We start from the raw sequence: 26,136 nt of genomic DNA, 5'->3' as shown, positions 1-26,136 counted from the left end.
CAGCTTGGCCTCCCAAAGCACTGGGACTACAGGCATGAGCCACCACTCACAGCCAGCATTTTTCATATATTATATAAAAACATATCTTTGCCCTCCCATTCACATTGCATTTACACATTCCTTTGAGTATTATTATCTTCTTTGTACAAAGGCAAAAACAGAGATTAAGCAATACCCGAGATCACAAAAAGAATAAATGGCAGTTGATTCAAACCCAGGTCATTTCAACTCCTAAGCCTATACTACTGGGCTACGACTGCCTTGGATGATTCTGTATGGTGTGGATAAGCACACTTTGTGTCTCTACAGATATTTCCTCACTGTAAACTCTGGACAATAACAGTTCCCATCTCAGGGAATTTTCGAGATGATCATATATGCAGAAGTGCTTTTTTTTTTTTTTTCTGAGACAGAGTCTGGCTCTGCAGCCCAGGCTGGAGTGCAGTGGCACAATCTCGGCTCACTGCAAGCTCCACCTCCCGGGTTCATGCCATTCTCCTGCCTCAGCCTCCGGAGTAGCTGGAACTACAGGCGCCCGCCACCACGCCCAGCTAATTTTTTTGTGTTTTTAGTAGAGACGGGGTTTCACCGTGTTAGTCAAGATGATCTAGACCTCTTGACCTCGTGATCCACCCACCTCGGCCTCCCAAAGTGCTGGGATTAAAAGCGTGAGCCACCACGCCCAGCCCAGAAGTGCTTTTTAAACTACAAAGTGTTAGACCATGTAAGGTTGGAGAATCAGTACTCTCCTATGATCTGTTCATCCTGTAGTGCAGGGCAGACAGTGTCAATGCCACTGTGGACCCCTCGCTAGGCTGACAAAAAAGTCTGGGGAAGACTGTTCAAAGGAGGACATCCAAAGCTGACACCTGGCATCCCAGGTTATTTTCACAAAACTCTAAAAAGGTACAACAAGGAGGAACCTTGGTGACCACAGGCTAAGTCAACCTTCTTCTCTTCTCAGATTTTACACAGGAGGCATCAGACGCCCTAAAATTTAAGTGCGCAGCATCAGTTTATAACCCTAATTGGTAGTAAAACTAGAGGCAGCACCCCAGTGTCCAGCTACTACTATGCTTTCCATGACACAAGACCATCTCTTAACTCACTTCCACACAATTCTTGTTCAATAACCAGTTAGCATTAATTCATGAGGTACCATATCCTGCTCTAACTCCATGGGAAAAAAAAAAAAAAAACACTAACGTAGAAAGTAGAGCATCAACGTGGAGTTCAATCTTCCAGAACTTCCTAGCATTTTCGAACCAAATAAAATAGGATTAGAAATAGAATTTGTTTTCTCTTTACATTTGTCTCTGTAGAGTCTGCTTTTTATGTAGTCTGAGTATAATACTTTTTTTCTCAATCATTAATACTTCTGGCTATTTCAAATCAACCCTCACAGTTATACTAGAGAACCAGGAAGAGAGTAACACTTCAGGAGAAAACATAAGAAGTCTCAGGCAATTACCATTTTCTAATGCTCTGAGGCAATCTCAGCCAAGTACCCAGCCCACCTGTCCCCAGGGGGCTGTGAACAGTCCTAACACCCAGCTCAATTTATACTGTGCCAAACAGCTTTGGCACATCTGCGCTGAGAATGAGATCCAAGAGTTTCAGACAATATGCTCTCTTGAGCTCCATCATATCCCACATTTTATTTTATTTATAAATGGACAAACGATTTATGGCTGCAGTGTGAAATTCAAAGGAGCTGTGCACTTGGCATTTATAGTAGGTCAGGCAGCAGCACACCACCACAAACAATAACGCAAACAGGAAACAAAGGGTCAAGGTTGGGTAGAGGTTTTCAAGGTTTCTTCTGTTATATACAGGACTAATAATAAACTCAGTGGGGACTTCCCATAATGTATGCCCTGTTCAAAGTCAGCATGGACTGGTAATAATCTGCCCACCCTCATCTGTGGGAGGAAAACAGCCATTAACAACAGATTTCAAATGAGGAAGTTTAACATGGTGAGATTTCTAAAGTTAAAAAAGAAAATTAAGGTGTATAACCTTCTTCTTCTTGCTTAAGGGTATTTTTCCTTAGCATCTTCTTCTGACATCTGCCCAAAGTTGTATAAGACTTAAAAATAAATGAAGTGATTAGTAGATTCAAGGCTACCTAGAGCTCTACTAAATAAAATGTTACCCTTACCCTAATGTGGGTTAAAAAAAAAATGCTGAACCTGGGGCCCATTGATTGCTACAATAACCTTCTTTATAAATCTTAACAAAAGAGCTAACAGTATTTTTAAGCAGACCTAATTTTTAGAGAAGTTTAGGTCACAGAAAAAAATGAGTGGAAAGTACAGAAAGTTCCCATATATCACTTTCCCCCACACAAACACAACCTTCCTCTCTATCAACATCCCACACGAGAATGGTACATTTGTTACAACTGATGAACCTACATTGACCCATCATTATCATCCAAAGCCCGTAGTTCACATTAGGGCTCATTCTTGATATTGCACATTCTCTAAGTTTTGACAAATGTATAATGACATGTCTCCACCATTATAGTATCATACAGAATAGTTTCACTGCCCTAAAAATCCTCTGTGCTTCTCCTATTCATCTTTCTGTCCTGCCTATGCCCTGGAAACTACTGATCTTTCAAATAGTTTTAAAGCTTTTCCAGAATAGTTGGAACCATACAGTATGTAGCCTTTTCAGACTGGCCTCTTTAACTTAGTGATATGCATTTAAGGTTCTTCTATGTCTTTTCATAGCTTGATAGCTCATATATTTTTAGCCCTGAATAATATTCCATTGTCTAGATGTATCACAGTGTATTTATCCATTCACCTATTGAAGGATATCTACTTTTCCTCTAAGTTTTGGCAATTATGAATAAAACTGATAGAAACAACCATATGTAAGTTTTTCTGAGAACATAACTTTTCAGCTTATTTGGATAAATATCAAAAAGCAAGATTGCTGGTTTGTATAGTAAGAAAATATTTAGTTTTGTCAGAAACTGCCAAACTATTTTCCAAAGTGGCTGTATCATTTTGCATTTTTACCAGCAACAAATGAGAGTTCCTTTTGTTCCACATCCTCACCAGCATTTGGTATTGACATTGTTTGGGATTTGGGCCATTTTAACAGGCATAGTATTATCTAATTGTTTTAATTTGCAGTTCCCGAATGACATATGATGTGGAGCATCTTTTTCTATACTTATTTGCCATCTATGTAACTATTTTAGTAAGATGTCTGTTCAGGTCTTTTGTTCATTTTTAATTTGGGTTGTTCATTTTCCTGTTGTTGAGTTTTAAGAGTATTTTGTGTATTCTGGATGACCATTCTTTATCAGATATGTCTTTTGTAAGTATTTTCTCCTAGTCTGTGGCTTGTCTTCTCATTCTCTTGACAGTATTTTCTTGTATTTGAAGCAGTCATATCCTTTCATATTAGCAGGTTAAACAAAAGAATGGTTTCAGACAAGCTGCTTACTTTCCTTAGCCTCGGTTTACTTAGTCATAAAATGGGGCCAATAATAGTAGCTATAGTAAAGGGGTTTGTGAAGAATAAAATAATCGAGCATATAAATGTTGGCTGATGATTGCAGAAGCAGCTGCAGCAGCAGGACCTTAGAAGCTTAAAGGAAGTGATGAAATCACTTTAGGAAAATCTATCCCACTCTTAGTACGCTGTACTGAAATCTCTCTTCAAGTGTCTGCTCTCACACAATACAATCAGTTCCATGAGAACAGGGACCATGTCTATTTTGCTGTCTTTCCAGAGTCAAGGATAATATTTGGCTAAATAGTAAGCACTTAATAAGTGAGAGATGAGCTGGCACTCACTAGGCCTATGGCCTTAGAGAATGTCTTGCACCTCAGTGGGACACATACAGCAGATAAAGATTGTTGACTACAGGTCCTCCAGGGTTCCTACCGTCATTCGTTTAATGAATGACTCTATCTCACATCCCAGATTGCATATAAGAGCTATATGTAAAATATATTACCTCCTATGGGCACTCAAACTCCACTTTGAAAGTTATCCCTTGAGATTTTAATAAAGGACTTCATAGTCTGGACTAATGCTTGGGCTGTTCCTAAACTTACAAGTGCCTGTTGCCATACATGAAGTCAGTGTTTGATCTCTGTTCGGAATACTTCAAACTTCAATGTCTGCGTGCATCTGACACCTGCTTTCTCTGCTTGCGTGGACCTGCTCCTTCTTTATTAAAAGAGATAAGGGCCATAGAATAGAACTAAAATGAGGGACCACAGAAGCTTAGAATTTCAACTGAAGAGAAAGCCGGAGGAGAGGAATGTTCACTTCTGGGATTCCTTTCCAGAGCTACCAAAAATGGATTCATGCTGGGTAAAAAAAAATGTAGGTGCTTCTCCTAGAAAGAGCTGACCAAGTAAGGATCTTTATACAGGATTTGTGTTAATATTCAATATAATCAGCCTAGAAAATTTTTGGACCACTAACCCCAGTAATGTATACAACTTTTTACAACATACATACACACACACACATAAACACACACACACATACACACACACACACACACTTTGCTCCAATGTCTACAAGATCTGAAACCAGGAAAAGTGATCCCCTCTAACTCTGTCAACTCAGAACAAGCAAGCGTGAGTGAGCCACCTTTTTACCCAGGCCACAAAAGAAAGAACATAAACTAATAGCTTTAGGAGCTATTTTAGGAGCAAAATCACGAAAGCTTGGGGCAATGTTTTTGACAAATGCCACATAGACTTAAGTATTTGTAACTATCAAAGCCTATGAGGCTTGATAGAGGGACTACAAGGTATTTCAAACTGTTCAGCAGTGTTTTGTGGGTCATTTGGTTCAAATAGATTTTCAAACATATTTTAACATTTTAAACTGTGTTTAGAAAAAAGAGCTACTGATTTTAATATGTAATTATCAGATTATGTGACACTGAAAATCACCAAAATTTAACCTATGCTGCCAGTTTAATCCTTTTTTCTTATTTTCTACACATATCAGAAGAAAGTCTCCTTTACTTGCATTATACATTTTATGAACTTCTTATAAATGTATAATTAATTGGAAAAGTTACAGGTCTAAACTCATCTTTTGAAAATTTGCTCAGGTAAATATCTAGTGCATCATGGGATACTCTGCTCAGTCCTGTACCAGGAAACACTCATACATGTTCACTTGGCTCAAACACTTGGCATAGCTCAGTATTCACGTATTCAACTATAACTGAACCAGTGACACACAGCATACTACAGAGAACTTTGATGTTTACTATAAGTTGGGGGCTGACCTTCCTATTTAAGTTAAGAAATGCAAGCACTTGGCCTGGTGTGGTGGCTCACGCCTATAATCCCAGCACTTTGGGAGGCCAAGACGGGCGGATCACCTGAGGTCGGGAGTTTCAGACCAGCCGAGCCAACATGGAGAAAACTCATCTCTACTAAAACTACAAAAATTAGCCGGGCGTGGTGGCAGGCACCTGTAATCCCAGCTACTCGGGAGGCTGAGGCAAGACAATCGCTTGAACCCAGGAGGCGGGGGTTGCACTGAGCTGAGATCGCGCCATTGCACTCCAGCCTGGGGGACAAGAGTGAGACTTTGTCTCAAAAAAAAAAAAAAAAAAAAAAAAGAAAGAAAAAAAGAAAGAAATACAAGCACTTATTAGATGATTCAACTTTAAAACAAAACTTTCTCTATTACTCCCCTTTAAGTTTCTGAATCAGTTTAATTGAGGAATGTCCTGAGCAGAGAGACCATTACAACTATTTATCTGCATGAGTCATGAATTCCACGCCATGGCAAACCAAACCAGATAGAAGTAGGTTCGATGCTGAGTAATGTTAAGGCTGTAATTGTTAGTCACAACCTCTGATTTCAAATTATGGTGTTAATTAAAGTCGCTTTATTATTCTCATGGGTTTTTTTTTTTTTTTTTTAATTTTTCAGATGGAATCTTGCCCTGTCGCCCAGGCTGGAGTGCAGTGCCGTGATCTTGGCTCACTGCAGCCTCCGCCTCCAGGGTTCAAGCGATTCTCCTGCCTCAGCCCCCCGAGTAGCTGGGTTTACAGGCCCGCACCACCATGCTCGGCTAATTTTTTATATTTTTATTAGAGACGGGGTTTCACCATGTTGGCCAGGCTGGTCTAGAACTCCTGACCTCAGGTGATCTACCCTCCTTGGCCTCCCAAAGTGCTGGGATTACAGGCGTGAGCCACCTCACCTGACCATGGATTGGCTTTTTAATAGTTAATGTTTAAAACCTGACATTTAAAATACATTTATTGGCTGGGTGCAGTGGCTCATGCCTGTAATCCCAACACTTTGGGAGGCTGAGGCAATGCATTGCTTGAGCCCAGGAAGTTCAAGACCAGCTTGGGCAGCATGGCAAGGTCCTGTCTCTACAAAAAATAAGAAAATTAGCCAAGCAGCATGGTGGCACACATCTATAGTCCCAGCTAATTGGGAGGCTGAGGTCGGAGGATTGCTTGAGCCAGAGAGGTGGAGGTTGCAGTAAGCCAAGGTCATGCCACTGCTCTCCAGCCTGGGAGACAGAGCAAGACTCTGTCTTGAAAAAATAAAATAAAATAAATTTATAGAATTTAAGACAATCGTAAATAGTTTTTTAAAAAGTTATATTTTAGAATTCTACACAAGAATTTATTTTTAGGGAAATATTTTTTGCTGCTAAAAAAATTAAATCTATAGGGTGGTAGAAAAAGCAGTAACAGACTAGTTGGATCAAATCCTATTTCTGCCATTTACTGTCTGTGTAATATTAGACAAATTATTTAACCTCTTTTAAGTTTCTCTTTTGTGAAACTGAAATATCAACTACCTTGCAGATATAATAACCTTCCCATGTTGACACACCTATGTGGACATGCAGCCCTGTTATTAGTACTGTTTGGTAAATGTGTAAAATAGCTCAAAATATCATGGATCTTGCCTGTTTTAACAGATGTAGGCAGCCTTCTCTCCTTGACCACCCCAGCTTCAGAATCTCTCAAAATGTAAAAAAAAAAAAAAAAAAAAAAAAAAAAAAAAAGTCAAATAAGGAAGAAAAACTCAGAATAGCCTCCAAACTTTTCACAGCAACACTCAATGCTTACAAAATTCTAATGGAAACAATGACCCAATATTCTATATCTTTGATATAAACATATAAAAGCTTTGAAGATATGCCAAAGCATTAAACACAGGCAGAACTGCTGATCACCATACTACCACTGTTAGTATGGCAGTGGTAGCCACTACCTACATGTGTTCATTTAAATTTTAATTAACTAATTATTTAAAATCAAATTAAATTTACAATTCAGTTCCTTAGTCACACTAGCCACATTTAAAGTGTTCGAAAGCCACATATGGCTGGTAGTTACTGTACTGAACAGCACAGATACAGAACATTTCTGTCATCACAAAAAGTTCTATTAAACAGTGCTCCACTACAACATGAAAGAGCTCAAGTATAAAAAAAACTTGAGAGCCCTTTATGCAGTTAGCCTGGAGATGAACCTAAAGAAACAACTCGGGACTACAGAAATTATGGTTACAGAAGATAATGCAAATACAACTTGATGATATTAGAATAATAATATAATAATACAAAGATTAAAATGGGTGGGAGAAATAAGAAGAAGTCTAATTTTCTCTTTTTTTTTCTTTTTTTCTTTTTTTTTTTTGAGACAGAGTCTCACTCTGTTGCCCAGACTGGAGTGCAGTGGCACGATCTCGACTCACTGCAAGCTCCGCCTCCTGGGTTCAAGCAATTCCCCTGCCTCAGACTCCCGAGTAGCTGGGACTACAGGCGCCCACCACCACACCCAGCTAATTTTTTTGTATTTTTAGTAGAGACGGGGTTTCACCACGTTAGCCAGGATGGTCTCGATCTCCTGACCTCGTGATCCGCCCACCTTGGCCTCCCAAAGTGCTGGGATTACAGGTGTGAGCCACTGTGTCGGCCTAATTTTCTTTCTTAAAGGCTGAATCAAAGTTGAAACTCATAGCTAAAAAACCAAACCAAACCAAAGAAACCACTACCATCTCTTATAGTCTATCTATACTACTTTGATGAGTAACTTTAAAGGGATACTTTAGGAAGCCCTATATTTTGTTAAACAGAGATTTATCTAAAGTTCAGCAATTACCTCAATTTTATTTTATCTGCCTTTCTCACTGAAACACAGTGCCAGTATGTCTAGAATTATATATAATAAATGTTAATGATAGTTATTTTGGGATATGGAATTTTGAGGGTTTTTTTTTAACTTTCTTTTTGTAGTTTTGAGTTTTGACTGACATTTTTACAATGATTTTTTACAAAACAATCAAATTAGTATTTTAAAATAGATCCTTCAATAAAAATTTAAAAGAATATGGAGAAACAAAAAGTAAGATACATCAATAAATAAAATTACAAAATTGTAATCACTCATGGTAAGAAAAAAATATGTATGCATCTGGATAAGGATTAGAAGGCAACATTTAAAAAATGAAAAGAAGTCATTAATTTTTTTTCTTCAAGCTCTTGGTATATTTTCAACAATATAATTTCATATGATTTGAATTGTTTTACCAGGAGCAGAGCTTTAATGAAACCAATCATTCATACTCTCACTGACATGAGAACTAAACTAATCACCTTGGCCTTATATTACAGGTAGCCACCTAAGCATTTACGAGAGCTTGCTTAAGTTAAAGGAGTACAGTGTTTTTAAGTTTGGGGTTAAAGGGACAGATTCTGGAGTGTAGTTGCTCCTGGAATAGGTAGTCTTCTATGGAGGGGAGTTTTCAATGTCCTCCTTTTGCTAGTTGATACCACAACTGTAACAGCTCCAGATGTGGTGAAAGTGATGAGAAATCTCAAGAGAGCTGTCCACAGACTACCAGGCAGTTCCATGACATTTTGAACTATTTTCTAGATTCACCAACCAAGAGCATAAGGGTGTATGTGAACATGGAAAGGTAATTATCAGGATTCTGAAGATACGTTTGTGTGTATATGTATACTACATATATATGTTTATATATATATTGTGTGTGTACATATATATATATATATGTACAGCTTATTACTGAGAGAAGTTTTAGACAATATTTTGTTTCTTATCTGGCCAACCTTTTGTAGACTTTATGGCTATCTATACTAGTGTTTCAACACTATTCCCCCATTAAATCCCCTCCTTATGTTGTTTCCTAAGCCTAGAGTAAAGTGGTACTCCCTCTCTCTTAACATTCTCCAAGCCTACCCTAAATTCAAGGTCCAGGTCAATGCCACTTCATCCAGGAAGCCTCCCTTGTATCCCAGCTAGAGATAATCTTTAATCTCCCATATCACTGTAATTTCTTATATGTACATTATGACTGTTTCACACATGCCTCATCTTCCCTACTGGATCATAAGCAACCTAAAGGCAAGATTTAAGTCAGATTTACCCCTACATCTCTTTAATCCCATCTGGGGCCTGCGAGTGTGTTTTGAACATAAAGACACTGCGTAAATGCAGGAAATGAGATATTTACAAACTATTTTCTAGGAACTATTAGCCTTGTGAAATATTCCTTCAAAAATGTGTTCCTTGGTCAAGTAAGTTTGACAAAAGCTATATAATCTGTTCGTGATGAATATTAAAATTACTGAGAAGTCTAATAATAAGGAAATTTATTTTATTCCATTCAACTATGCATTGGCCACAGAATCCTACTCTTTGTTTCTTTATCTTTTTATATACACCATGCCAAACTCTGTTGGTGCTTCACTCATATTCCCTCAGCCCTCTTGGAGATCGCCTGTGGATGCTTCCCTTACAAGCCAGTGGCTTCCTGAATTTCTCTGCCTGAAAGCATTATCTGGCCACTGGAGTATATTCCACCAGGAAGTCCCAGGAAGTTGATACCCTCTGGAGTAACCTATGAAAGGGAGTAACAACTTCCTCATCCCTCAGGACAATTCTGAGTTATGTTCTGCACAGTATCTCAAAGGATGTCAGTAGGATTGAGCAAAACAAAATAAAGTAAATAAGGCTAACTTGTGTGTTAGAATGTTAAATAATGATGCTGCTGATAAAATTTAAGTAGCTAAAGATTGAACAGGAGTGTGGCTGGAAATGACCTAATTATATTTTCCTGAGGGTAAACAGACAATTCAGATTATATCACAAAAACAGTTCTTATACCAATACCTATCCAAATATTACTTTTATCCCTTATCATTGCAAGCCTCTTATTTGTTTTAACCTACCTCTCTCTAAAGGTAGCAAGAATAGCTAGCATAAAACATGAGCAAATCAAATGGAATTATAATCAAACTTAATTTTATTAAGATCTTTGAAAATTTTTCAACCCATGTAAATTTTTACAATTCTCGGGACTTTTAAAACCATGGAACACAGTTCTAATCCCAGTTACTAGTTGTGTCATCTATTGAGACCCATCTTTTTTTTTGTTTGTTTGTTTGTTTGAGACAGAGTCTCGCCCTGTCACCCAGGCTGGAGTGCAGTGGCGTGATTTTGACTCACTGCAAGCTCTACCTCCAGGGTTCTCACCATTCTCCTGCCTCAGCCTCCCGAGTAGCTGGGACTACAAGCGCCCGCCACCACGCCCGGCTAATTTTTTGTATTTTTCATTAGAGACGGGGTTTCACCGTGTTAGCCAGGATGGTCTCGATCTCCTGACCTAAATACAGCACCTTCATCAGAAAACTTTCCTTGACCCACTCCCCACCTCAACCATATGTGATCTCCACCTTCTTTAAATCCCTATAACTCTTTAATGCTGTTGTGAATGTGCTTAGCTTACTTTATGTCTCTTACTTAAATGTCTGCCAGTTGAGGTTAAGAACTTTGACATGTGCCATTGCATATGTTCTACCATGTCTGTTCGATAAGAGCTACCCAACAAGTATTTGTTGAAATGCTAAATCTTGGAAAGACCAATTAGCCTTTATAGAAGTTGAATAAGAAAAAAAAAGTTTTAATATATTCTTGCAGGCCTTTTCCTACTAATCTGGAGACAGAAATAATTGGAAATTTTAAATGAATATTTGTTTCTGTAATTAAGATAGCCCTATGAAAAATTCTAAAATATGCCAAGCTTTTCCTCCTCTTTTCTGTATCTTCTCAACCCGGGTCCTCAATACCCCCAGATTTTCTTTGCTGCTTAAGATACCATATTATGCATCTTCTTTGGCTAAACAGGCCCTTAAGCTTCTAATATTTTCCTATTTCACTATTAAAACTGATCTGTCCTATATTCATTTCTTTTAGCGTCCTGATTTATAATAGCGACAATGCCTCTTTTGCCAAGAAAAGTACGGGGAGGTTAATATGTTAGCTAACTACAGTATCATTCTTCATTGATAATGTCCCTTATATAAAATATTTAAATCTTATCCCTTATAAAGGTACTCGGAGGAGATAATCAGGTACTGTGATTGTCCATATGGGAATATCTAGACAGATAAATCTGTCCATGTACCTTAAAATCACACCAATTCAGGTATAACTATGGGTGGTCATACACATTATACACTGTCTAACTACAAACTGAATAGCACTCCCTGAGTTGTGCAGTGTACAACTTGCACAACCACACTCAGTAGCCCTTCACCAATTGAGTAGCTGCTCTATTTTCCTGTGTGTTAAGAGGACCTCCCCACACTTTTTTTCTCCAATCCCTAATTTCCAGTTCACTTAACTTCAACTCGAGAGAAATAACTGCTTATACATACTAAATACTTGGTCAATTTGCATTTTTTCTGAAAGTAAGTGAATTCAAGAAGCCCATATTTGATATTCTGTAGAAAAAAAAAAGTGCGAAATTTTCCAACCCCAGATGCAGTGGTATAATATGGATGAAAGACAGGTTTTCTGAAACTTCCTTTGAATAAAATTCTTCTATTTATCTTAACTTAGCTAAAATCCTTTCATTTTTCTTCATGTGTATACAGTCTACAAAGAAATTTTGATCTCTGAAATTTCTTCAAGGCCTTCTTTAGACCTTAATGTCGTTTATTAGTATTTTCTAGAATAGTTATAACTATACCATTTGAAATCCTATTAGTGAGGGTGTCAGCAGTGCACTTGGCCTTTAAGAAGTACTTAATATTCAGCCTGATGAATGTGAATTTAGGAACTGAACTCATTTCTTGCGCACACGGGATCTAAAACCTCTCACCACTATAGCTGTGCCCAGCTCGTCTTTAAGTAGGCAAAAAACTCCAGCTAAAAATCTGCCTTCTCCTATTTCTCTCCCACCTAGATTTAATTCTCTACAGCCTATCCGAGTTACAAATGAAAGTTTTAAATTCTAAGCACTGAAAGGTATTTGGACTCCAGCATGCTCTTTTCCAATGCATTGCAACCAAGGAATCCCATTTAATTCCAAGCCAGTGAAATAAAAAGCAACATTGTTTAAAACTCTTGAGGTTCAGATCAACTTTTAAGGAGGCACTGAAGCTTTTTAACATCTGCTTCCTTACCAGCAAAGGTAATACATCTTTAAATAATTTGTAAGTGTGTTAGAGCTGCCACACAGTTATTGAGAGCTCTCCTTTGGTAAATAGGGGCTGCAGGCTTCATATTTCAGACAGCTGTCACCCATTAAATATTTTAATATTGAAGGGAATTAACTTTCATATCAATAGCAATGATGAAAAAAATTATCTCTGTAGCCAGGACAGACGACGTCAGTGCATAACTTGTCATTTTCTAATTCAGCTGCTTCCATTTGATTTGGAATTAGAACTAGACCTCAGAAACCGGAGCCACGGCATCCTCACACAAAAGCTGTTTCAAATTATGTGCAGCAAGTTTCTAAGCACATTAGCAACTAGAACAAGCTGTCCTCATGCTAACTGGCCTTGCTTTGTTCTTGATGGTGGAAAATCTCGCTTTAACTGCCCTCTAATTTGTTGCAGAACGCTACTGCACCAGCAGCTGCCTTGGCACAGGATTAAACACACAAAAAAAACATTATTTTTCCACACAAATTATTAACAGTGCCAAAAGCCACAAAATCCTTTTTGAAAAAAAAAAATCTTTTTTTCTCCTCAACCCCTTTATTTTCCCTACCCTATAACACAACCTGCAATGAATTACACCTCAGTGGGGTCTTTTGAGTTACCCCCTCCCCAACTTTCAATGTAAACATACAGAGAGAGTACTTCATTCTGTTTTTGATAAAACACAAAAGATTCAAAAATAGGGCAGAGGGAAACTTTCAACCACACATATAAGTATGTCAATGAATGAGGACTCCTGAGGGGCTATACACAGAACTGTTGGGAAACCTACTTGCCTAGTACCTCGTACGCTTGTTCACAAACTACAGGAGGAAATACGTAAAGTAAGCCTCCCTCTGTTCTAATCTTGGTCTGATTACAGCTGTTTCTGTGAAGCAGTTAAACATCTTGCCAAGGGGAAGAATCTGCTTGATTGCTGCTTCAGAGGAGAATTTATTAATGAAGTCTGCAAATAATTGTTGAGAAGACAACTGTGCCTTTCCTCATTGTCTTTCTCATTCAGCAGGCTTGCAACAGCTTTTTATTTACATTTGTTAGAGAATACCATGAGGACCTTTGAGGTCAATGCATACCTGCGTTCTGACTCTGAGGAAGGCTTAAAAACAATACTTACTGTTTTCAAACAAAAGAAAAATGGAAGAAAGTGGCTGTTTCCCCTTCTTTCAAACAAGACCACTGCCTTTTGTACTGAGAGGTAAGTGTAGTTTGGGGATCTAGGTATCACAGGATATCTCTTCATTGAGACCCCTGCTATCTGCTCATTATCCCTTTTGAGAAGGAGTCTGACATCTGACTAGCAGAAATGAAATCCATCAGGTGCCTTCAGTGCCATCTGGAAAGGAGGCTCTCCATGGAGTGAAGAGCAAAAACAGCCTGGGAGAGAAGTGAAGTTGATGACTTAGCTCTCAAGAAGCACCTACACACAGCTTACTTCCTCACTGATTCTCAGTTCCCATCACTCTCCTGACAAAGATCGGCCCTGTAGTATTCTTGCACAAAGTTTGCTTCCGCTCACTAAGGAAACTCTAGGAATAGAATGGGGTGGTGGTAGAGGTGGTCTGTACAAAGTTCTGCGCAGTTTTACTTTAAGGTTAAGAAACTGAAAGATAGGAATCCGAAAAAGTCTCCAAAATAACTGGCCACCATGAAAACTTCCCCATCCAGGTTCAAAGCTACTTTCTGGCCTTCTCCTGCTCCCAGATGTGCCTTTCTCTTTAATTGTGCTGTCTTTTTGCATTCTTAATACTCACTCTCTTGATCAGTTATGTCGACTCTCAAAAATGGTCGGATGCAATGATTTGAAAAAAGCATGCATTCAAAGCTTCTTTTATTAAAAATTTCATTAAGGGATTTGCAACCTTCTCCTTTGCTTTCTGCTCCAGCTTCTCTCTGAGCTGCAAGTCAGAACATTCCCCCCAGAGGCATTCACTGAAAATTCATCACACATCATCAGTTATTAAGCACACTACTCTCTGGGATTCAGGAAATAAACAGCCAAGAATTCTGAGCCACCCGTTTGTACCTTAAATTCATGAGGTCAAGCAAAGTGTGTGAAATTTGGAATCAAATCAAAGTCTTCTAAATGTAAAGGATATAAAGAGAAAATTCACCATTTTACACAAATGCATTATAATGAGGATCTGTTTTCTGATTTTCTAGTCAACCACATATGCCAGGAAAAGGAAGAAACTGGGATTTTTCCTATTAATAAATGACCGTTTCAGTTCTATCCAGGTGTACGTATGTTGCTTTTGAGTTACTTCTAATACACGTATTAAATAACAGGTCTATATATTTTTGTGTTGTCTAAATTTACATTCATGGAAGATAGTGTTTAGTGTTTATTAACTGTTTTCCTTACAAATTTTTTAGCTATGCTGTTTACCTACTACAAAATGAGAGATAATATAAAATATCTGGTGTTCATGTAAAGAAAGTCTTCAATTCCTACTGGCTTCTTCTTCCTCTATCTATGTCTTCCCCCATCACATTTTGTATACAATAGACATCATTTTACCTAGTAGAAGATGACCAGACACCATAGTGCTGGGCATTTCTCCCCTTCCAGATACCATTTCACCTCACGATTCTCAGTCAGACTATAGAACCATGGTTCTCAGGGTGTGGTCCCTAAACCAGCAACCTTAGGATCACCGGGGAACTTGCTAGAACTGCAGATCCTCAGACACCAAGCCAGACCTTCTGAATCAGAAACTCTGAGAGTGGGGCCCAGCGATCTGTGTTTTAAGAGGCTCTCCAAACGATCTTTGTGTTTGAGAATCTCTAATCTAACCAACATGCCCTCAGCATGCCCCACTGGCAGAGTAAGGCACTTTCATACTTTCCATTGCCATGTCTTCTGCTGGTCACTGGTTTCCTCAGCTCCCCACTGGGGAAACCCCACTTGGGTAAGCCCTCCAAAAGTTAGACCTCATGTTCCAAAAAAATCCCTTCCTCTGTGCTCTCCATCAAAATCTGTATCTCCATAGTAAGCTTTTCCAACCAGAGGGAGAAATAATGTATACCAAAGAAATAAATGTCCAATGGTAGCATTATGATTCCTACAATAGGCATATGGGAAAGGGGAAAATGTTATAAGGGACACCTCAGTGACTAATAAATCATATAAATAATCACAATATGGCTATATGGGAGACCTCAGCAATTGTGACAGATCCAGGTCTATTAACTTTTGATGACAGACCACTTATACTTACTTAAACTCTCTAAAGATCAGATTCCTCATCAACAAAATGGTACTGAGAACATTTTCTTCATGGAATATTTGTGAGAATTAATGATTACTTTCCCCCAAAAGCATCTAGAATTGTGCCTCACACAGCGGAGCTGCTCGATAAGCAGAAAACCTATCAGTATAATGGAAAAAAGGCAACTTTGGAGTCAAGATGACATGAGCTCTAGTTCCTGGGATAACTGTAGGGAAATTAAACACCTTTCTGAGTCACAGTTTTCTATTCTGTTAAGTGGGGATAATAGCAATTTCTGCCATAATATTTATTGTACAAGGTTATCAAAAGGCTTGGATTAAACAACCCTAGACTATATAAATTATGTGACACAAAAATAGAAGCTCATCTTTTCCATTCCTATGCGTGTAGGCTGGGGAGGGAAAGTGATGAAGAGTAAAGACTATATATTTGGAACAAAACTGACCTGCATTATGACCTGGTTATATTTTACTAGCTGTGAAGCCTTGGACAAGTTCTTTAATTACACTGAGCTCCAGCTTCAGTATTTAATGACATTGAAAAGTTACTCCTACCTTTCAAGGTTGTTGCAAGGTTGAAATGCAGTAATGAATATGGGCAAAGAGATTAACATGGTGATTGGCTTAGAGTAGGCCTCCATATTAGTGGTTTTTGTTACTACTACCACTTATTATTATTATTATCATTGTTTTATTAAATGGTGGCTATTTGTTGATGGGGCTGATCTATCAAAACCTAGAGGTTAGTAGCTAGGTAGACAGTTATAAAAGACAGTTATAAAACCTTCTTTGTTCTCTATTGAGATTCCATTTGAGAGAGCAAATTTTGTTGTCTGTATAAAGTACACACATAATGTTTAATAACTTTTATTCAAAACTCATAATTTTGCAGTGGTCTTCTCAAGGAACTTTCTCTTATCCTTTAGGATACATAGAGGAACTAAAAGGTCACAGAAGTTAAGCCACTTGCTTCTCTTTGTACCCACAGGCCCTGGCACAACAGACTAAGTTACCCTCTTTGGCCCTCTGCCTTTTAGAAATAAACCTTGTAGAAAAGGAGGAAAAAACTACACATGCTCCACTCGTAGGCCTACCTCTGCCCAACTCCAACTCACCTACCCCAAGTACACAAAAGGATCCAATTTAATAAATATTTTTTAAGTACCTGCTATGTGACCAATACTATTCTAGGCACTGATTAGAACAAGTATATGTGTTGTTTCAAATCTGAATTCTTATACCTGCCAGTCATCTTTCCTCACACTCAGAATATCCTGAAGTTTGTCAGCTGACACTGCCAAGTCTTTGCCAGTTGCCTCAGGTCATGAATAACACTTAGGAACGTGATCTTAATTGTTCTTGTAGTGACCAGGTGACCAGGTCAGTGTCATCCATCTGGGAGTTAGGTTAGTTTTCTTACCTATGAAGTTCTCATATTCCTCAAAGATTAAGTTTGACTCTCAATTCTCCCACAAAGAATAATGTTTTTCTCTGAGGACCAAGAATCAGACTTTTCAGCATTATGAGTTTTTGTTACCAACTGAATGTCCAACCAAGGCATCCAATTCTGCCACTGCATCCTCATTCAGTGGGTGTACATGCATTTTACATCAACTCCCTCATTCTCGTCTTGGTTCCCAGACTCTATGTCTCCAGTTGCTATGGGAGGTTGGGAATAATTCAAGAATTAATGTTTGGAATGAGGACAGCCCCAGAGACTGTTCTTCTCAAATAAAATTTAAGTCTGAGGTTTAAAACTTCATGGTTTACAGAGATTAGGCAGATAATGTAAATATATAAATCAATTTATGTGTAACACAGTAGGGAGAGATGAGATCTATGGTTAAATGGAGAAATCATGTAAATTCCAATTTAAAAAGAGAAACCTGGGCAGGCTACCAAGTCAGAGCCTCTGCATCCCTTTAAGGACAGGACGGAGGTTTCTCAGGCTTTGTAGGCCCAGCACTTAGCATAGTACCTGTACTTAGTAGGTGCCTGAATCAAGGAACGGATGAAATAGCAAAGAAGTGAGTGAATAAATGAACCAAAGTGGAAGAGCTGAAATAGTCACCTTAGATTGTACCTTCACAATATAAGAGGTGGTAAACCTCACTCATTTGAACTTTCTCTGTTCCCCAAACTATCTCTGAGATCTTTCACACTTATAATAATCCTCAAATTCATTTGCCTAGGGGATTTTATTGTTATTAGTACTAACACACAGGTCATCAACAGATAGATAGATAATATATATTAATATTATGTTTTCCTTTAAAACAATTCAGAGTACTGTATAATACATTTTAAAAGTTCAATACCAACTCCTCTAATGTAACCGTTAGCCCCATAAAGTGAAAACAAAAGAGAAAATAAACGATCTTTGGAAGCCCACATAGCAGAAAAGTAGGAGCGGAAAACATATAAGTAACTTAGAGTCATGGGCTCACATTATGGATCAAGTTGTTTCAGTCCAAGTCATCTTCAGACATCTGCAGACCTTCATTCTTCTGAGGCAGTGGGGATGGAGGAAGATAATGAGGACAAGTTTGGACATTAAGGATAAAGAGGTGCGAATATTTCAGGACTATCAAATTCCCTCTTATACTGCTGCTATACTAATCCTTCTGGTGGCAATCCAAGAAAAAGGGTATTATTTTGTATTCCACAAGGCCCTATTGTAGATTCAGTATCTGGAGATGGTGGCATGTGACTTCAGGGCCTTCTCCCAATCCTACAGGGACAGGTCAAATTACACGAAAACTACCAGAATCCAAGTTCTCATGAGCCAATCCTATTCCTTAGCTGCATTTTGCTCTTTCTCTTCTTTCTCTGTTCTTCCAGTCTCATCTGCTGCCTGTCGCCTCCTGACCTGGGCTGCAGTAGAACAGCTTCACCAGTTCCTGAACTGTTGCCTTTCCCCTAGTTTACCACCCGTTTCCATGTTGATGGCACTGAGTTCCCAGTGACTTGTCAATGATCTGATTTCAGGATTGTATTAGTTCCTATGGTGGCTGTTAAAAACAACAACAACAAAAAACTTGGTGATCTAAAACACTAGAAAGGTATTCTCTCAAGTTCTGGACACCAGAAGTCCAAAATCAGTATCATTGCATCAAAATCAAGATGGTAGCAGGGCCACACTCCATCCGGAGGCTCTATCTAGGGGAGAAAGCATTCCTTGCCTCTTCCAGCTTCTGATGGCTGCTGGCACTCATTAACTTGTGACTAAATTACTGCAATCTGCTTCTGTGGTCACTTTGCCTCATTATCTTCCTCTTTTGTTGGTATAGTGTTCCTCTGCCTCTCTCTTATGAGGACACTTGTGATGGCATTTAGGGCCCACCAGATTATCCAAAGTAATCCTTGCATCTCAGCCAGGCGCGATGGCTCATGCCTGTAATCCCAGCACTTTGGGAGGCTGAGGTGGGCAGATCACGAGGTCAGGAGATCAAGAGGATCCTGGCTAAAATGGTGAAACCCCATCTCTACTAAAAATACAAAAAAAAATTAGCTGGGCGTGGTGGCAGGCACCTGTAGTCCCAGCTACTTGGGAGGCTAAGGCAGGAGAATGGCATGAACCCAGGAGGCAGAGCTTGCAGTGAACCGAGATTGCACCTCTGCACTCCAGCCTGGGCAACAGAGCAAGACTCCTTCTCAAGAAAAAAAAAAATCCTTGCATCTCAACATCCTTAACTTAATCACACCCTTTTTCCAACTAAACTATCATTTATAGCTTCCACAGTCTAGGAGGTGGATATCCTTTGGAGGGTAATTTTGTAGCCTACTACAAGGACCTTTTTACATAATCTGGTTCCATGAGCAGCCTCAACACCAAATCAAGAGTACTGTTCTCAGAAGAATTAGGGTGCTATTCCATTTGAATGCCTATAGCTAAATGCCACAGTTATCCCGGATGGGAAAGTATATTAACCTAAGATGTTTCTTATTGTAAAGGTCTGTCTTGTTTAATACCTGTTTCTTCTTTGTCTATATTTGCACAGATGCTTAAAGCAATAGCAATCTGTATTCTTTCCTTACTTCAATAGTCCAGACTTTTCCCATTCCCCTTTTCTGATCTGGCATCCAAAATAGGACTGGGTAAGAAACTAACAAGAGTCTAACGGCTCATTCCCAAATCTGGCATTGTTACCACTCCTGAAGTCAGCCTCTATAACTCATAGAAGATACGATGTACCTGGCTGCCACCATTTTCCCTCTAAAGATTTAGACAGGATGCCAGACGGGCCTTGGTCTCATATCACTCTTAAGAAAGCAAACTCCACTCAGCTTTTCTAGAGATGAAGACAGAGTGACTACTCTGCCTTCCATCCTGAGAAAGCCTTCTTAGGGAGCCCCATGCTGTGTTCATGTTTGTTCAGGTGGCTTGATATTTGCCACAAGACATTCTTTCCCAAGCAGCCTCAAAAGACAACCTCCTACTTCTGTAAAATATATGGATTGAGTTTCTTTGAATGAAAAGGCATAGCATATTCAACCCACTTAGAGGAACTCCTAAGCCTTCCAATGTGGGGAAATTGTGTGTTACCCAAACCAGCCAAAGGATGCCACTCAAGCATAACCAGGAAAGTGGTTTCCCACTTGAGTCCAACTATGATTTGGGCTCTTTAGGGGATTGATTTATGCTTCCCTCAACCACAAAACTTAGGATAGAAGTTTCTTTTGCCAAGAAACAAAGAACATGTTCTGTATTCTTTATCAGTTCTCATAAGAGTTTTCCAATTCTCCTCATGCTGTGCTGAGAAAGAAAATAAAAATTAGCCATGACTTTGTAAAAATCTATTGCTTTTGGGAAATGTTCTTTTCTGACCAATATGGAAATCTCAGTCTCAGACTAAGACAGAGGAAAATTAAAGTGATATGTTTTTCTAATCCTACGATTTTAAGAAACAACGAGACATTCATGCTGTAGAAATTGTTAAATTTGTTCAAAATCCAAAAAGTCTTACAAAAGCCTACAACCCTTTACAGATGTGCTGGGACCCATACTTCAAAGAGTTTGTTAATGAAGGACTAAAATGCCCAAATCCTTTAAGTAAAAGGATGGAATTTTATTTACATACAGAATACCTCCCTTTTTTCTTTTTGGCAGTATTTCAGGCCAATATTATGTTGGAGATTGAGCCCAGCAAGCTATAAATGAAGCTGAGCATGCATGTGGTTAGCTGTCTGCTAAAGAAGCTCATCATCAAAACAACAAAGCTTATCCCCTTTGAAATGAGGGGACAACTGTTCTTTCTGCTGGTTCCACACTTGTTTCTGTATCAGGATAATAAAAAAGTGTAGTCATGTGTCATTTAGCAATGAGGGTACATTCTGGGAAATGTGTTATGATACAATTTTGTCCTCTTATGAACACCACAGAGTAGACTTACATAAACATAGAGGGTATAGCCTAGAACACACCTTGGTTGTATTGTACAGCCTATCATTCCTAGGCTACAAAACTGTACAGCGTGTTACTACACTGGATACTATAGGCAACTATAATCCAATGATAAATATTTGTGTATCTCAACTTACCTAAACATAGAAAAGGTACAGTAAAGATACAGTAAAAAAGATTAAAAAAATGCTACACTTATACAGGGCACTTGCCATGAACCAAGCTTGCAGGACTGGAAGTTGCTCTGGGTGTGTCAACAAGTGAATAAATGTGAAGGGCTAGGTGAGTAAATATGAAATCTAGTAAATGTTACTGTACATTATTTGGGATTGTATAAACACTATACACTTAGGCTACACTATAAATTTATAAAGAAATATTTTTCTTTCTTCAATAATAAATTAATCTTAGTTGACTGTAACTCTTTTGCTTTATAACTTTTTAATTATTTTAACTTTTTGACTCTTTTGTAATAACACTTAGCTTAAAACACAAACATTGCACAGCTGTACAAAAATATTTTCTTTATATCCTCATTCTATAAGCTTTTTTCTCTTTTTAAAATGTTTAATTTTCTTTCTTTTTTTTTTTTTTTTTACTTTTTAAACATTTTTGTTAAAGACAAAGACACAAACACAAACACTAACCTAAGCCCAAACTGTGTCAGGATCATCAATATCAGTGTTCCACCTCCACACCTTGTCCCACTGGAAGGTTTTCAGGGGAAATAATATGCATAGAGCTGTCATATCCTATAATAACAATGCTGTCTTATGGAATACTTCCTGAAGGATCTGCCTGAGGCTATTTTACGGTTAACTTTTTTTTAATAAGTAGAAGAAGTACACTCTAAACAAAAGCATAGTCTAGTAAATACATAAACCAGTAACATAGTTGTTTATTATCATTGTCAAGTATTATGTACCACACATAACTGTAGGTGCTAATCTTTTATATAACTGGCAGTGTGGTAGATTTGTTTACACCACCATCACCACAAACACATAAGTAATGTGTTTTGCTATGCTATTTCAATGGCTTACAACATCACTATGCAATAAAATTTTTCCAACTCCATTATAAACTTATGGGACTGCCGTTATACATGCAGTACATTGTTGACCAAAAATATCATTATGCAGCACATGACTGTAATCAAAAAGCCCAAAAATACTTGCTGTTAGGCCATTTGAGGATCTATTGGGGAAAATTTTCCAGGTTTTCAAGAACTGGTCAGAACTTAAAACTTTTTCTTTGTTCTTTGGCTCTGACAAGATTGGAGTTCTGGCTTATTGGCTGATGGCTTTAATTTTGACCTCAGCTAATCCTCGTTCAAACACTACCTTTATTGTTTTCAGAGCACCCACTTTCCTTATATTTGAAAAAATGTGTGCACGTGTGCATATATATGTATTTCACTTCAGTTATTTTCCTTTGGGATATTGTGCTAAAAGGAAAGAGATGATCAAGTGACATTTGGAGAACGTTTGCTTCTTTGCTTCTAATTCTCCTGATACTCAACATTGTGCTATTTATGCTCTACTAGAACTGAAGGCTTTTTAGCATTCTGCATACATCATACTATATCCTCCTTATGACTTCAACTTTCCCCAACTACAACTCCTTACCTTAAAAAAAAATAATAATTCAAGATTCAGCTTAGATATTTCTTCTTCCAGGAAGATCTGGAAAACCCTAATCCTAGCTCCCCCATTCACTGTCACAGACTGGGTTAGATTCCTCTCCTCTGTGCTACCATGGAAATCTCCATCACTCTAACCCCAAAGTTCCTGTACTATGTTATACCTGCATGTTGACTTGTTTGGCTTCCTTATTAAAGAGAATCATATCTCCAATGCTTGGCAAAAAGCAGATAATAAATGGCCATTTTTAAGATTTGTGAATGCTAAAAACTTAAGAATGATTTACCTTTGTCAGTTGCATGTCTTTGTAGTCCACTTAGTAAAAAACAAACAAACAAACAAACAAACAAACAAAAAAACCTTCTTTTTCCTAGGCTAAGCCAGAGTCATGGGAAGAGAATATTTCATCTCCAGTTATAGCCTGAGCTATTCCTATAGCTAAAATGCCCTGAATGTTGATTTCTACACACAGTGCCTCTGGCACTTCTGAAAGAAACATTGTTCTTAAAGAGACTGAAGGGATTTAGACTTTCAGTGAACCAGGATGCAGGCTGCCTTGGCTGGACTATTGAGTCTATTTGCCTGCCACCAGAGTCCAGTCCCCAGAATAAAGCAGATTAAAAGAAAATTAACCCTCATAATTGCTTCCCAAACAGATTTTGTTGTCCACATGGGATTACACACAGGATGGCCAAGTTTCCCATAACCATAACCAATGGTCCTGAACTCCCCATCCTGGGCTTATGAGCACAAGTCAAGAATCCAAATCCCTTTTCTCTCAAGGGCTAATCCTTTTCAATGAGATGTTCACAGCCCTATGTTATTAATGTAGATTTAAAGAAAATAAAAAAATCACATTCTCAAGGAATTCAAGGTTGCATGACTAAGAAGGGAACTCAAGATTTTCACGCATAACTGAAGTTCCTGCCAGGTGTAGAATGTGTGCACATCACTTATACCAATGGACATCGTAGACAAAGGAGATCATCTGGATTTACATTTAATAAAATGATCTTTCAGGGTACTAAAGCTAAGACATGAGAAGCTATCATTGAGCTTTCAAAACCCTACAATGGCCTGATTTAAAATCAAATGAAAAATTTCATTTCAGATCAGATTGGTAAAAATCTGGATACAGGCCAGAAAAAAAGTAGCAAAACTTAAACGTATGAGCAGAAGTGCTTAATCATGAAGAGGAGGTCCAGAAGGAATGTTAAAAGTCATTTACCTCTGCCTATACCCTCCAGTCCAACTCACTTTAACTCCCTCCCAGAGGTGAATGTGTAGACCAGTGGCTCCCAGACAAGAACCACCCTCCTCTAGGTGGCGGGGCTCAGTTACTAAAACAGGTTCAAGAATCCACGAGAGCAGCAAATATTGGCTAGGGCTGATTAAACAGTCTGTCTTATACAAACACAAAATACTTTTTAACTATACTTAGATATTGACTATAAAGTGTTACTGGTTTCCTAGCAGTTTTTCTTCCTCAGTGGTTTCTCAAGAAACAGACACTAACTAAAAAGCAACACCACACTCAAGGTTGGAGGCATGGGACAAATGATATGTGAATTTCTTTAAAGTTAATTTTTTATAGAAGAGTAAGATCCATCCATGTAAACATTTAGGGTATTAAAATATTAGAAATCACTGTCTTATACATTTTTATCAACAATCCAGAAAACATTTGCACATTCTCCATATTTAGTTTATTCCAAGGCTTAATTTTTCATGGGAGAAGGACTTCAAAACGTCCATCTAGAAGCTGGAGGCCATAGTAAGTGAATTAATGAAGGAACAGAAAATCAAATGCTGCATGTTATCACTTACAAGTGAGAGCGAAACATGGAGTACACATGGCACAAAGAAGGGAACAACAGACACCAGGGCCTACTTGAGGGTGGAGGGTGGGTGGAGGGTGAGAACTGAAAAACTGCCTATCAAGTGTTATGTTGATTATCTGGGTAACAAAATTATCTCTACACCAACCCCGCCCCCAACACACAGTTTACCCATGTAACAAACCTGCACATGTACTCTTTGAACCTAAAATAGAAGTTGGAAAGTAATAAAAAAAAAGTCTATCTAGGCCGGGCGTGGTGGCTCACGCCTATAATCCCAGCACTTTGGGAGGCCGAGGCCGGCAGATCATGACATCAGGAGATCGAGACCATTCTGGCTAACACAATGAAACCCCATCTCTACTAAAAATACAAATTAGCCGGGCATGGTGGAGGGCACCTGTAGTCCCAGCTACTCGGGAGGCTGAGGCAGGAGAATGGCTTGAACCTGGCAGGCGGAGCTTGCAGTGAGTCGAGATGGTGCCACTGCACTCCAGCCTGGATGACAGAGTGAGACTCTGTCTCAAAAAAAAAAAAAAAAAACAGTCTATCTAAATCCTTCCTGCCACAGTTTTACCTGGTCCTAATTTATTATTCCTCATTTCTGAAACTGCAGGATGATTACCAAAGCTCCTCATGTAGCCAATGACTATTAACTTAGCCTCTATTCCAAGCTCCTCTTCTTGAAGCTAAAAAACTCAAATCTGGCAGTTATATCTCAACATTTACATTGCTATTCTCTAAAACAGTACTGTCCAATGGAACCTTCTGAAGTGATGAAAATATTCTGTTTCTGTGTTGTCCAATAGGATAGCAACTAGCCACGTGTGAATACTGAGCACTTAAATTATGGCCAGTGAGACTGAGGAATTGAATTTTGAATTTAAATTTAATTTAATAAATTAAATTTAAAATAAATTTAACTTTAATTAATTTACATTCAAATTTAAATATAAACATATGGCTAGTGGCTACCATATTGGACAATGTAGCTCTGGACATTATCCTTTTCCTAACCATCTTATTTAATTATAGTATCCCCCAAATGCAGAAAATAGCTCAATAAGAACATAATTGATTTCATACACTGTATTATTTAATTTTACTCATAGCACCATGGTGCCAATGAGGCCAATGACTAAATTTAATTGCTGTGGGGACATATTAGCTTTACAAAAAAAGATAACTAAAATATAAACATAACCTAGTCTAATATAACAAGGCCTATATAAAAGAATGCAGCTCATAAAAAAATTGTATATGTTCTTGGAAAACAGTATATCCAAAGACCTCAGAAGTTCACCTTTCTAGGCAAAGACCTGCTTATTCCATGAATTGTATCTTAAATTATCTTAATTTGGTAACCCTCAGTATGTGATGTTTGATTCTTAGCTCCTTTTTTCTTATATACTTAAACAAAAACAGCAAATAATTTATTTGCTTGATACTGAGATTCTTTTTCCTGCTTCAAGATAATTTGTCTTAATGGGTCCCCACAGAGTTGCCCAAAG

At 38.2% G+C, this 26,136-nt stretch overlaps 1 long non-coding RNA gene across 1 annotated transcript in view; it reads right to left on the bottom strand.

Annotated features, from left to right (window-relative positions):
* The window catches only part of LOC105376107 (uncharacterized), a 378,142-nt gene that overhangs the window by 225,344 nt on the left and 126,662 nt on the right, over positions 1 to 26,136 (bottom strand). The gene's annotated exons all lie outside the window — the stretch shown is intronic.

This window comes from Homo sapiens, chromosome 9 (genome assembly GCF_000001405.40).
Source record: "Homo sapiens chromosome 9, GRCh38.p14 Primary Assembly".
NCBI lineage: Eukaryota > Metazoa > Chordata > Mammalia > Primates > Hominidae > Homo > Homo sapiens.
The sequence above is the reverse complement of the archived record's forward strand: the minus strand, read 5'-3'. Positions and strand labels throughout refer to the sequence as shown.